Source organism: Homo sapiens, chromosome 10, assembly GCF_000001405.40.
Source record: "Homo sapiens chromosome 10, GRCh38.p14 Primary Assembly".
Lineage (NCBI taxonomy): Eukaryota > Metazoa > Chordata > Mammalia > Primates > Hominidae > Homo > Homo sapiens.
In genome coordinates this window covers 131,982,212-131,995,195 of record NC_000010.11, presented here as the reverse complement: position 1 = coordinate 131,995,195, position 12,984 = coordinate 131,982,212, and the positions used below count along the sequence as shown (strand labels likewise).

The 12,984-nt window shown below is 45.6% G+C and overlaps 2 annotated features.

The window, feature by feature from the left end:
* Nucleotides 12,603–12,722: a silencer, noted in NCBI's record as "silent region_2952". NCBI's record gives its function as "represses an Ori minimal core promoter by ATAC-STARR-seq in GM12878 lymphoblastoid cells {active_cell/tissue: GM12878}" and the evidence as "EXISTENCE:reporter gene assay evidence [ECO:0000049][PMID:35858748]".
* Nucleotides 12,763–12,952: a silencer, noted in NCBI's record as "silent region_2951". NCBI's record gives its function as "represses an Ori minimal core promoter by ATAC-STARR-seq in GM12878 lymphoblastoid cells {active_cell/tissue: GM12878}" and the evidence as "EXISTENCE:reporter gene assay evidence [ECO:0000049][PMID:35858748]".

Here is a 12,984-nt window from a genome sequence, read left to right as displayed (position 1 = left end):
CTTAAGAGATCCTCCCACTTCAGCCTCCTGAGTAACTGGGATGACAGGCACAAGCCTTTCCTTGAACATTTCTTCTTAAATTTATTCTTAGATTTTGTTGTTGTTGCTCTTACAAATGAGGTGGTGTTCATCTCTAAAATGGTCATCACCAGCATATAAGAAAGCTACTGATTTATACATGCTCACCTCTCAACACATACTTTATTGCATTCTTATTTGTCAAATAGTTTTTCAGTTGATTTTCTTGGATTTTTTAGGTGAACAATTTTACTATTCTTTGTGAATTTATATTCAGCAAATGTTAACAGAATACCTGCTATATACCAGGCATGGTTCTAGGTGCTCAATGTACAGCAGTGACCCTAAAAGACAAGGATCCATACCCTCATGGAGCTTACATACGGTGGGGATGATAGTGGGCAATAGAGACAGTGTGTCTGTTTGGTATTTGAAAAACTTCATTTCTCCATCCTGCCTTAGGGCATGGCCTAAGCCCCTCAGAACACAGCTGAGTAGCAGGGGTGCTGATGACAGCCACTGGCCTGCTGCCCACTGAAATGGAAATGCCACTCATATTTCACAGCCAAGCACGGTGCTCACGATGGACTTCTGGTAAACATGCTTTATCAGGAAAGCTTCTGAGTTGCAAGTAATAGAGACCAGCTCTGGCTGATGGAATTGGAAAACACCTTTGCTGACAGTGTTGGAGGGCTCACAGGTGGCTGGGAGGGCCCAGATTTGAGAACTGGGCAGGAACAAAGAGCAGCCACATGGCCAGGACAGCAGAGTCAGCCAGTCCTGCAGGTAAACCATGGCCATCGAGGTGGAGCATGAAGCACAAGCACTACCCCTTCTATGCTGGCACCAGGGGTGGCTCACGCCTATAATCCCAGCACTCCAGAAGGCCTAGATCGGCAGATCACTTGCGCCCAGGAGTTCAAGAGTAGCCTGGGCAACATGGGGAAATCCCAGGTCTAAAAAAAATACAAAATTTAGCTGGATGGGGTGACATGCACTTGTATTTCCAGCTACTTGGGAGGCTGAGGTGGGAGGATTGCTTGAGCCCGGGAGGTCAAGGCTGCAGTGAGCCAGCTGTGACTGTGCCACTGCACTCCAGCCTGGATGACAGAGTGAAGCCCTGTCTCAAAAAAAAATTTCCCCTGGAGCCTCTGGAGGGAGTGCAGCCCTGCTGGCACCTTGGTTTCTGCCCAGTGAAACTGATGTTGAACTTCTGGCCTCAAGAACTGTGAGAGAATAACTTTGTGGTAATTTGTTATAGCAGCTACAGAAAACTAATATACTAGGACACAAGAAGCATGAACTATTAAGGAAATCAATAAATTGGACTTTGTAAAAATTGAAAACTTTGTTTTTCCAAAGACACTTATGAAAAGGCAAACCATAGACTAGGTGTAAATATTTGCAAACACATATCTGACAGAAGGACTTGTATCCAGAATAAACACAGAACTCAGAACTAAATAACACAACCCAGTTAAAAACTAGGCGAAAGATTTGAACTGACACTTCACTAAGGAAGATATACAAATGGCAAGCAAAGTTTGTGGGTTTATGAAAAGATGTCACGATAGGGAAATGCAAGTTAAAATCACGAGACGGCAGCACACACCCATTAGAATGGCTACAATTAAAAAGCCCGGCTAAACCACAGTTGGCGTGGGTGTTCAGCCACTGGCACTCTCCTGCTGCTGGGAAAGTAACATGTGCGAGCACTTTGGAGAACACGATGGCAGCTCCTTAAAAAGCTAAGCACACCCTCCCCATACGACCCAGCCGCTGCACTCCATGGCATTTACCTGCAAGAAATGAAAGAACATGTCGATACAAACGCTGGCACATGAATGTGAACGTTCCCAGCAGCTCGATTTGCCAGCGGCAAGAACTGAAAACATCCCAAATGTCCAACAGGTGAACAGTAAACAAATGGTGGCACATCCATACAACGGATGCTGCTCAGCCATAAAGAGGAACCGACTACTGATGAATGCATGCATCACCGACGAATCCCAAAGTCATTACACTGAGTGGAAGCAGCCAGATGAGGAACCTTTTGGAGATAACGGGCATGTTCATTATCCTGACGGTCTTGTGGTGTCTACAGATGTAAATTTCATCAAATTGTAACTTTAAATATGAGCGGGTTTTGTACATTAATTACATCTCAATAAAGCTGGTTTTAAAATTGCATAATTTTAAGGTCTTACGAAGCCTGAATCTGCTTCTGCTTTTGGACATTCTAGATTGCTTCCTCGTGTGTGTGTGTGTGTGTGTGTGTGTGTGTGTGTGTGTGAAGAAACAGGTCTCGCTCTGTTGCCTAGGCTGGAGTGCAGTGGCGCGATCATAGCTGACTGCAAGCCTCGAACTCCTAGTCTCAAGTGATCTGCCTGCCTCAGCCTCCCAGAGGGTTAGGATTACAGGTGTGAGTCACGTGCCCGGCCTTCCTGTGCTCTTTTATATTGTCAGTGTTCCTGTCACTTTGTCTTCTAGATGCTATTAACGCTGGTCCACTGAGGAACCCACTCTAGTTCTCCTCTCCATTGTGGGTTTAATCTCTTGCATATGTCTTTACTGTCATTTCAATGAGGTCTTGAGAGGAAGGCAAGACTAAAAAATGTGTTCAGTATGCTATAATTCTCACTTAGGTTGTAACACATATCGACTTCATAATCTTTTTTTATTATTGTGAAAAATATCCAACATATACAATAGTAGAATAACATGGACCCATATGTACCTAAGACCCGGTTTCAACAACTGTTAAGTCGCAGCAAATCCTGTTTCATCCATACCCTCAGCCACGCCCCCCTCCTGTGCTATGTTGAAACAAATCCAAGACATCATTTCATTTCACCCATATTTCAGCAAGCATATAGGTGACACATTAAAAGATAAAAATGCCAAAAGAATGCCAAAAAAAGACTGCGATACTATTATCACATCTAAAAGTAATTATCTATTTTAAATCTTCAAATGTCCATGCGTTCAAATTTCCAATTCCTTTTCTCTCTCCTTTTTTAGTTTGTTTAGATAAGGAACAAATCCATCTCCTATTTTTCCTCTTGCAATGTATTTACTGAAAAACTCATTTATCATACTTCGCCACTTGCTGTATTTTGCTGATTCCAATTCCACAGTATTATTTGTCTATTTTATTTTTTATAGAGATGGGATCTCACTGTGTTGGCCAGGCTGATCTCAAACTCCTGGCCTCAAGCAATCCTCCCACCTTGGCCTTCCAAAGCCCTAGGATTACAGGCCTGAGCCAACTTACCTGGCCCACAGTGTCATTTAATACGTTCCTCTGTCCTGAATTTGGTAGGCAGTTCTAAAGCCTGGATCAGGTTCAGGTTCTATTTTGCAGGGAGGATGTGGGAAAAGGACAAAACTATTTCTTTTTTTTTTTTTTTTGAGATGGAGTCTCGTACTGTCATCTAGACTGGAGTGTAGTGGCGCAATCTCAGCTCACTGCAACCTCCGCCTCCCGGGGTTCAAGCGATTCTCCTGCCTCAGCCTCCCAAGTAGCTGGGATTACAGGCGCCCGCCACCACGCCCAGCTAATTTTTTGTATTTTCAGTAGAGACGGCGTTTTACCATGTTGGCCAGGCTGGTCTTGAACTCCTGACCTTGTGATTCGCCCGCCTCAGCCTCCCAAAGTGCTGGGATTACAGGCGTGAGCCACCGCACCCAGCCGGACAAAACTATTTCATAGACTGTGTTAGGCTCTTCCATCAGGAGGCACAGGATTTCTATCAGTGTCTCTTTTTGCAATACTGGCAGCTGTGATTAGTAGTTAGATTCACTGATTCATTAGGTGTTATAAAATGTGATTTTTTTTTTTTTTTGAGACAAGGTCTTGCTTTGTCACCCAGGCTAGAGCGTAGCGGTGTGATCATGGCTTACTACAGCCTTGACCTCCTGGGCTCAAGCGATCCTCCCACCATGGCCTCCCAAATAGCTGGCGCCCTGTTAGTTTTAAAATCATTTTGGTAGAGACAGAGTTTTCTCATGTTGCCCAGGCTGGTCTTGAACTCCTGAGCTCAAGCGATCTGCCTACCTCAGCCTCCCAAAGTGCTGGGACTACAGGTGTGAGCCACCGTGCCTGGCCCTCTTTAAATTTATGTTAAGAGTAACTTAGAAGGATTTTTTTTTTTTTGAGATGGAGTCTCACTCTTATCACCCAGGCTGGAGTGCAACGGCGCTATCTCGGCTCACTGCAACCTCCGCCTCCCGGGCTCAGGTGATTCTCCTGCCTCGGCCTCCCGAGTAGCTGGGATTACAGGTGCCTGCCACCACGCCCAGCTAATTTTTGTATTTTTAGTAGAGATGGGGTTTCCCCATGTTGACCAGGCTGGTCTCGAACTCCTGACCTCAGGTGATCCACCTGCCTCAGCCTCCCAAAGTGTTGGGATTACAGGCATGAGCCACCGCACCCGGCCAGAAGGATTTCATAATTAACAATTGGAATGATTTCTGGCGGGAGGTTTTCTTTTTGCAGATGATGTTGAGAACAATATTGTATTCAGAATGCAGCCTGAATAATTTCTACTTTTGATAATTTGAGGTTTTCTGTTTTAAAAAACTGACCCAACACCTAGCAGATTGGAAAAAAAGATCAAGGGTGTTTGATTTAAACGTGTAGTTTCTGTGTGTTGCTATGAAAGTTCATATAGACATGTAAAATCAAGTTTGTTAACTGTTTTATTTCTATACTTGCTATTTCCCCTTTCCTATTGCTAGTTTTCTCTTTTTTTCTCAAGTAGTTTGAAAGTTGAGGGCCTAAATCTAGTCTTCTAGTGGTTATCTTTATATATATATATATATATATATATTTTTTTTTTTTTTTTTTTGAGACGGAGTCTTGCTCTGTTGCCCAGGCTGGAATGCAGTGGCATGATCTTGGCTCACTGCAACCTCCGCCTCCCGGGTTCCTGCCGTTCTCCTGCCTCAGCCTCCCAAGTAGCTGGGACTACAGGCGCCCGCCACCAAGCCCAGCTAATTTTTTGTATTTTTAGTAGAGACGGGGTTTCACCGTGTTAACCAGGATGGTCTCGATCTCCTGACCTCATGATATGCCCGCCTCGGCCTCCCAAAGTGCTGGGATTACAGGTGTGAGCCACTGCGCCCGGCCCAGTTATCTTTATATTTTAAGAAACATAGTTCAACTTCTACTTTTTCCATCAACATATTTAACATATTTCTATACACATCAGTATCTACAGCCTTTTCTTCCTGAATGTCCTGTAACGTACAAGTTCCTTGCCTCTCTTCCAATTTCTAACTGAAATCCTGTGGAATTTTAGTGCAAGATTATATTTTTATTTCATTCTATCTCAGGAATAATTTATTAACAATTACCTTAGGGTTTTCAGCCACATTAGCAGCAGTTATTTTCTACTGTGATGGGAGGGCATTGCGGGGTGGATGACACATGCAAAGAGGGGCGCTTCTCCCTTCTGGAAGCTTTCAACGACTCAGTCCAGGAAGTCACTTCTATTAAAGGGTTTGAAGTTGAGAAGCTGTGAGAAACCTCTCCTTTTTTCATGTGAAAGGCAAAGAAACCACTTGATCTGGTAACATTTCTAACTCTCCATCAAGTTCACATTTTCTATCTCCTTTTCTCTTAGTAGACCAGCTGGTCTGGTAGACAATTCCAGGGCCCTCCTCTTTCCCTTTATGTGTCATTGGGGCCTGTGCGGTGGCTCATACTTGTAATCCCAGTACATTGGGAAGCCAAAGCAAGAGGATCTCTTGAGCCCAGGAGTTAACGACCAGCCTGGGCAACATAGCCAGTCCCTGTCTCTATTTTTTAAAAAACATTTGTCATATGTCCGGTCACAGTTATCTCCCTCTGCTCAGTTCTTACTTTGTGCCTTTCAGGGACTGGGCTTCCCTCTGCTGCAGTTTGTACCTCCATTTACATGCTTCATTTTGCTTCAACTAACTTTTCTTTGAAAGGACTAGAGTCTGTAGTAGTTTAAAACAGTAATGTTTGGGCTGGGCGCAGTGGCTCACGCCTGTAATCCCAGCACTTTGGGAGGCCGAGGTGGGTGGATCAGCTGAGGTCAGGAGTTTGAGACCAGCCTGACCAACATGGTGAAACCCTGTCTCTATTAAAAATACAAAAATTAGCCGGGCGTGATGGCAGGTGCCTGTAATCCCAGCTACTTGGGAGGCTGAGGCAGGAGAATCGCTTGAACCCGGGAGGCGGAGGTTGCAGTGAGCCAAGATCGTGCCATTGCACTCCAGCCTGGGGGACAAGAGCTAGACTTCGTCTCAAAAACAAAAAACAAAAAACAGTAATGTTTGTCCTTAAAAACTCTGATCCGGAATGCTCAAATGCTTGAGACTGATTTGAATAATAATAAAACTCCAGTCTCCTGCATAGCCGGCTCTGTGTGAACTACTCTTTCTCTATTGCCATTTCCCTGTCTTGATAAATTGGTTCTGTCTAGGCAGCTCCACAAGGTGAAACCACTGGGCGGTTACAATATAAGTGGAGTTATATAGTATGTATTCTTTTGTGTATGGCTTTTACCTAATGTTTATGAAATTCATCCATGTTGTTACGTGTATCAGTAGTTCATTTCTTTTATTGCTGAATTCTATTATATGAATATACTGTAATTTATCCATTCTCTTGTTCATTGACATTTGTGTTATTTTAGACTTTTGGCCATTATGAATAAGGTAAATCTGTAAACATCATTTTATGGATATATGTTTTCATTTATCTTGAGAAATACTTGAGAGAATTATTGGATCACGTGTTTACCTTCACGAAAAACTTGCAATCAGTTCTTCAAAATGGCTGTACCACTTTGTTACCACCAGCAATATATGAAAGTTCTTTTTTTACCTTTTATCTTTATTTTTTACATTATATTTTAAGTTCTAGGGTACATGTGCGCAACGTGCAGGTTTGTTACACATGTATACATGTGCCATGTTGGTGTGCTGCACCCATTAACTCGTCATTTACATTAGGTATATCTCCTAATGCTATCCCTCCCCGCATCCCATGACAGGCCCCAGTGTGTGATGTTCCCCTTCCTGTGTCCAAGTGTTCTCATCGTTTAATTCCCACCTATGAGTGAGAACATGTGGTGTTTGGTTTTCTGTCCTTGTGATAGTTTGCTGAGAATGATGGTTTCCAGCTTCATCCATGTCCCTACAAAGGACATGAACTCATCCTATTTTTTATGGCTGCATAGTATTCCATGGTGTATATGTGCCACATTTTCTTAATCCAGTCTATCATTGATGGACATTTGGGTTGGTTCCAAGTCTTTGCTATTGTGAATAGTGCTGCAGTAAACATACGTGTGCATGTGTCTTTATAGCAGCATGATTTATAGTCCTTTGGGTATATACCCAGTAATGGGATGGCTGGGTCAAATGGTAATTCTAGTTCTAGATCCCTGAGGAATCGCCACACTGACTTCCACAATGGTTGCACTAGTTTACAGTCCCACCAACAGTGTAAAAGTGTTCCTATTTCTCCACATCCTCTCCAGCACCTGTTGTTTCCTGACTTTTTAATGATCGCCATTCTAACTGGTGTGAGATGGTATCTCATTGTGGTTTTGATTTGCATTTCTCTGATGGCCAGTGATGATGAGCATTTTTTCATGTGTCTGTTGGCTGCATAAATGTCTTACTGTGAGAAGTGTCTGTTCATGTCCTTCGCCCACTTTTTGATGGGGTTTTTTTCTTGTAAATCTGTTTAAGTTCTTTGTAGATTCTGGATATCAGCCCTTTGTCAGGCTGGTCGTTGCTTTGGCTTCCCAATGTACTGGGATTACAAGTATGAGCCACCGCACAGGTAGATTGTAAAATTTTTCTCCCATTCTGTAGGTTGCCTGTTCACTCTGACGGTAGTTTCTTTTGCTGTGCAGAAGCTCTTTAGTTTAACTAGATCCCATTTGTCAAGTTCTTGTTTCTCTATATCCTGGTTAGCAGTTGGTATTGTCAGATTTCAAAAAATAATTTTTGTCTATGAAATCATAAAAAAAAACTAATGTACCACTTGTGATGCCCCCTGCAATCCTGCAGCAGACTTTTTTTTTGTTTTTTGAGACGGAATTTTGCTTTTGTTGCCCAGGCTGGAGTGCAATGGCGCCATCTTGGGTCACTGCAACCTCAGCCTTCCAGGTTCAAGCATTCTCCTGCCTCCGCCTCCCGAGTAGCTGGGATTACAGGTATGCACCACCACGCCCAGCTAATTTTGTATTTTTAGTAGAGATGGGGTTTCTCCATGTTGGCCAGGCTGGTCTCAAACTCCCGACCTCAGGTGATTGGCCCACCTCGGCCTCCCAAAGTGCTGGGATTACAGGCGTGAGCCACTGCGCCCAGCCCGTTTCTTTAAATATCATCAGCAGGCCACATTTTCTGGTGTACGAGCCTTCACTGGTTAACCCTGCAGAAAGTAACTTCTTTAAATATCATCAGCAGGGCACATTTTCTGGTGTACGAACCTTCATTGGTTAACCCTGCAGAAAGTAACTTCTGTAAATATCATCAGCAGGGCACATCTTCTGGTGAACGAGGCTTCATTGGTTAACCCTGCAGAAAGTAACTTCTGTAAATATCATCAGCAGGGCACATCTTCTGGTGAACGAGGCTTCATTGGTTAACCCTGCAGAAAGTAACTTCTGTAAATATCATCAGCAGGGCACATCTTCTGGTGAATGAGCCTTCATTGGTTAACCCTGCAGAAAGTAACTTCTGTAAATATCATCAGCAGGGCACATTTTCTGGTGAACGAGCCTTCGTTGGTTAACCCTGCAGAAAGTAACTTCTGCTTCTGGCTGCACCCACCTCTCCACTGTTTCCAAACAGATATTCTCCAAATTAGCTCCTTTTGGGATTCCTACATCTGCTTTATCTACCCAGAGCTGTACCAAGAAGAAATCTCAACCCCCAAAACTCTGGGGACTCCCTGTCTGCAAACCTAGTCCAATAATTCTGAACACACTTGGCAGCTTTTACAGGGACTAGGCACAGAATCCTCCCAAATCCTGGACCACTGAGGGCCTCTCCCACTCCATTCCTGCCTGTAGAAGCTGAGTTCTCACCAACTGCCTGCTCCCTGCTGTCCTGCCACACATGACAGCTTCATTGTCCACTGTTGCTGCCGGAAAATAACCGTTTTCCTTAAATATCTGCATCAGAGACAGCAGAGGCGATGACAATGGGTGAGTGAATCCAAAATTTAAGGACAGAGAGGTTTATTTCACTGAAACAAAGATTCCCTAAAACGAAGCAGGTGGATTATTCAGTGCTTGCTGGAGAGCATTGAAGAGAGGCTCCAAGGCCGGGCACAGTGGCTCATGCCTGCAATCCCAACACTTTGGGAGGTTGATGTGGGTGGATCACTTGAGGTCAGGAGTTAAGAGACCAGCCTGGCCAACAAGGCAAAACCCTGTGTCTACTAAAAATACAAAAATTAGCCAGGTGTGGTGGTGGGCACCTGTAATCCCAGCTACTTGGGAGGCTGAGGCTGTAGTGAGCCGAGATCACACCACCGCACTCCAGCCTGGGTGACAGAGTGAGACTCCGTCTCTAAAAAAAAAAAAAAAAGGCTGCAGGTGGGAGATGGCCTTGGGTGCGGGGAAAACAAGTACATAATTCCCAGAGGACAGTGAGATTCACCCAACAAGCCAAAGTGTGAGAGCTGATGGGTAGGGCTTTGGTGCTCCACCTTCCCGGTCAATTCCAAAGCCCCCCTTTTTTGAATAAGGACTTTAGCCAAGGCTCTTCCTGATGCCTTGCCCCAGTTCTTTCCTAAAAATGTAGATTGGAGGAGAACTCAACAATGTACTCAAAGGTCAGACAAATCTCTGCTTAGATGTTTTGAAGGGTTTGTAAAAACCTTTAAATAATATTCTGGAATGCCTGTTAGCCTCCAAGATCATTAGAATGACTCCTCATAAATTCTACTTTCCTCAGTGGCTTAAGTGAGGGTTTGGTTACCTAAGTTAAAAAGATACCAGCTTAACCGGGTGAATATACAAACCCACAAATTAGTAAGCTATGCAGATCAACTTCCTAAGACAATTCAGAAGGAAGAAAAAAACTAAGGTCTCAAAGATTATGAATTTGCAACTACAAGAACTGACTAACCAAATGAGGCCTTTTAAGAAAAGACAGGGCCTCCTTCTAATGACAAAAGGGCTGTTTGCTTCTACTGTAAAAAGCCTGGCCATTTCAAAAAAGATTGTAGAAAATTTAACAGCAGGACCAGTGAAAAACCAGGATCCCACATGATGAACAGGATTGCTCTGATGATCGAAGGGAGGTGTTCCTATTTCTACTAATGCCTTAGGAGAAATGGACATTGCCATAAATGAAGAACAGACACATGCCCTCAAAGACACTGGTGCCACTCTTTTCGTCCACTTTAAGTTGTCTCCTTCCTTGGAGTAATGGAACTGTACAAACGGTAGGGTTATCTCATCAGCCTATCACTGGATACAAGTCCAAGCCCTTAGAATCCCAGGGCCCTCATTCTTTTCTTCATTCCCCCACCTCTCAGACATCTCTTAGGCAGACATTTTGTGTTGGAACGTCACAATGCATGCTTTCCTTCTCCCAAAAGGAAGAAATGGATTTAGGTTTAGAATGGAAGGAGCAAATGGAAAAACTACAGAATGAGAAATTACTGAAATTATAAAAATACAGATCAAACAACTTTTTTTTCAACTGGCACTAATGACACGGATGGCTTAGGGCAAGCTTTGTCAGACCACTTATGGTCAGAGTCTTCCACCGACATTAGTAAAATATATTCAGCCACTTTCATTAAAGTGGAAGTAAACCTGATTAATCCTTTACCCAATATCAGACAATATCCTCTAAGGCCTGAAGCAAATGAAGGAATAAGATCCGTAACAAAAGACTATATTAAAAGGGGTCTAATTATTCCTTGCGCCAGCATGTAATACTCCAATCCTTCTTGTAAGGAAGCCGAATGGGAAGAGCTGGTATTCTGTACAAGATTTGAGAACCGTCATCAACACTGTGATCCCCAGACATCTGGTAGTACCAAAGCCCCATCCTCTTTCGGCAGCTGGAAGTGAGACACTGTGACTCATTTATGTAGTGCCTTCTTTAGTATTCCAGTGGACCTAGAGTCAGTATTTGTTTGCTTTTACTTGGGATGACTGCGAGCATATCTGGCCTATCAGGAAATATTGCTGATGAAACTGCTGCCTCCATCACAGCCCAACAAAAAGCTACTGACTCACTGGCTAAGGCTGCACTGGACGACTGCATTGCTTTCGATTATTAGCTGAGCAAGCAAGTCTATGTATGGTGGCAAATACCTCTTGATGTGCATAAACCCTTTCCACGAAGTAGAAACTCATATGGGAAAAAGTACAAGCCACTAGGCTACACTATTCTGAACAATTCTCCATTTGATTTTCTTCGTAATACTTTTAGTTGACTCCCTCGAATAGGTTCCGTTTTTCATTCTGGCATACACATTCTCTTTTTCATTGTAATCCTTATGTGCACCGTACTTGGTAACATTTTTGTTTTAATAGAGATGGAGTCTTTCTGTGTTGCCAGGTTGGTCTTGAACTATCAGGCTCAAGTGACCCTCCTGCCTTGGGCTCCCCAAATGCTGGGATTACACACAAGAACCACTGCCTGGCCAGCACTACAGTTCTACTATCGAAATTATTAATGCTATGCTATGTATCTCTGGCGGTTTTTTTTTTTTTTTTTTTGAGACAGGGTCTCACACTGTTGCCCAGGCTGGAGGGTAGTGGCCTGATCATGGCTCACTGTAGCCCCTACCTCCTGGGCTCAAGGAATCCTCCCACAGCAGGTGCCACCATACCCAGCTAAGTTTTTTGTATTTTTTTAGGGGAGAGAAAGCGTTTCGCCATATTGCCCAGACTGGTCTCCAACTCCTGGGCTCCAGCGATCCTCCTGCCTCGGCCTCCCAAAGTGCTGAGATGAAAGACATGCGCCCCACACTGGCCTCTGGATGTTTGTTACTCCTGAGAAAACTAAAATCATGGCACTCCAAAGACTAGAGACGATTCAACAGGCAAGAGCAGGGATGAAATGCACGCAGCGACTGAGGTCTGGCTTCGCGGCTCTGTGACCCCGGTTCAGCTTCTGAGCGCCTGGTTCCTTGGCGGGACGCCTCCTCCTTTCCCGCAAGACCAGACACGACTGTCTGGGAAGCAGCGTTTCTGGGGCGCACCTTGACACTTGGATTTGGATCAACAATGCTTTCAAGAAGAAAGACTTTTGATCAAAAGCGGGAAATGAGAAAGCGACTTTCCTCTGAAAAGTGCCTCCCAGTCCCGAGGCTGCGAGGCCCCCACGCCAGGCTGGCTCCCACGGAAGCCGGGCACCCACCCGGCCCGACCAAGCGCCACTCCGCCCCGTGGACGGGGCGTCCCACCCCGGGGACGCCCGCCCCACACCGCGTTTGCACCCCGGAGGCCCCTTGCCGCAGAGGCGGACGGCGCGCCTCTCCCGGGCCCCTGGGGTCCGCGCCTCCCTCGGGCAGACTCTTTCGACTCTGCTCGAGCCTCCGCTTCTTCCTGCGGGCGGACGCCCCGGACACAACGGGCCCCGCTGTTCACGCAGGGGCGCCCCGGCGGGGCGGGCAAAGACCCGGGGACGCGGTCCCGTCCCGAGACGCTCAGCTCCGGCCCACCGCTCGCAGCTCCCGCCCCGGGCGCAGGTCCCGACCCCACGGGCCGTCTCGGAGCCGCAGCGGCCGCTTCCCTGCACGTCCTCACGCCCCCCGCACGGACGCCGCCAGCCCCGCGCCTCAGTTTCCCCACTAGCAGGATGGAAAGACGGGCCCCGCCCCGAAGCGTAGCGGCGTCTCCGTGGTAGCCAGTGCCCAGAGAGTCCGCCGGTCCCACCGCCCCTTCAAAGGAGAACCCGGCCCACCGCCCGCCGCGGCGGCGACCGCGCAGCCCACTCGTCACGCGG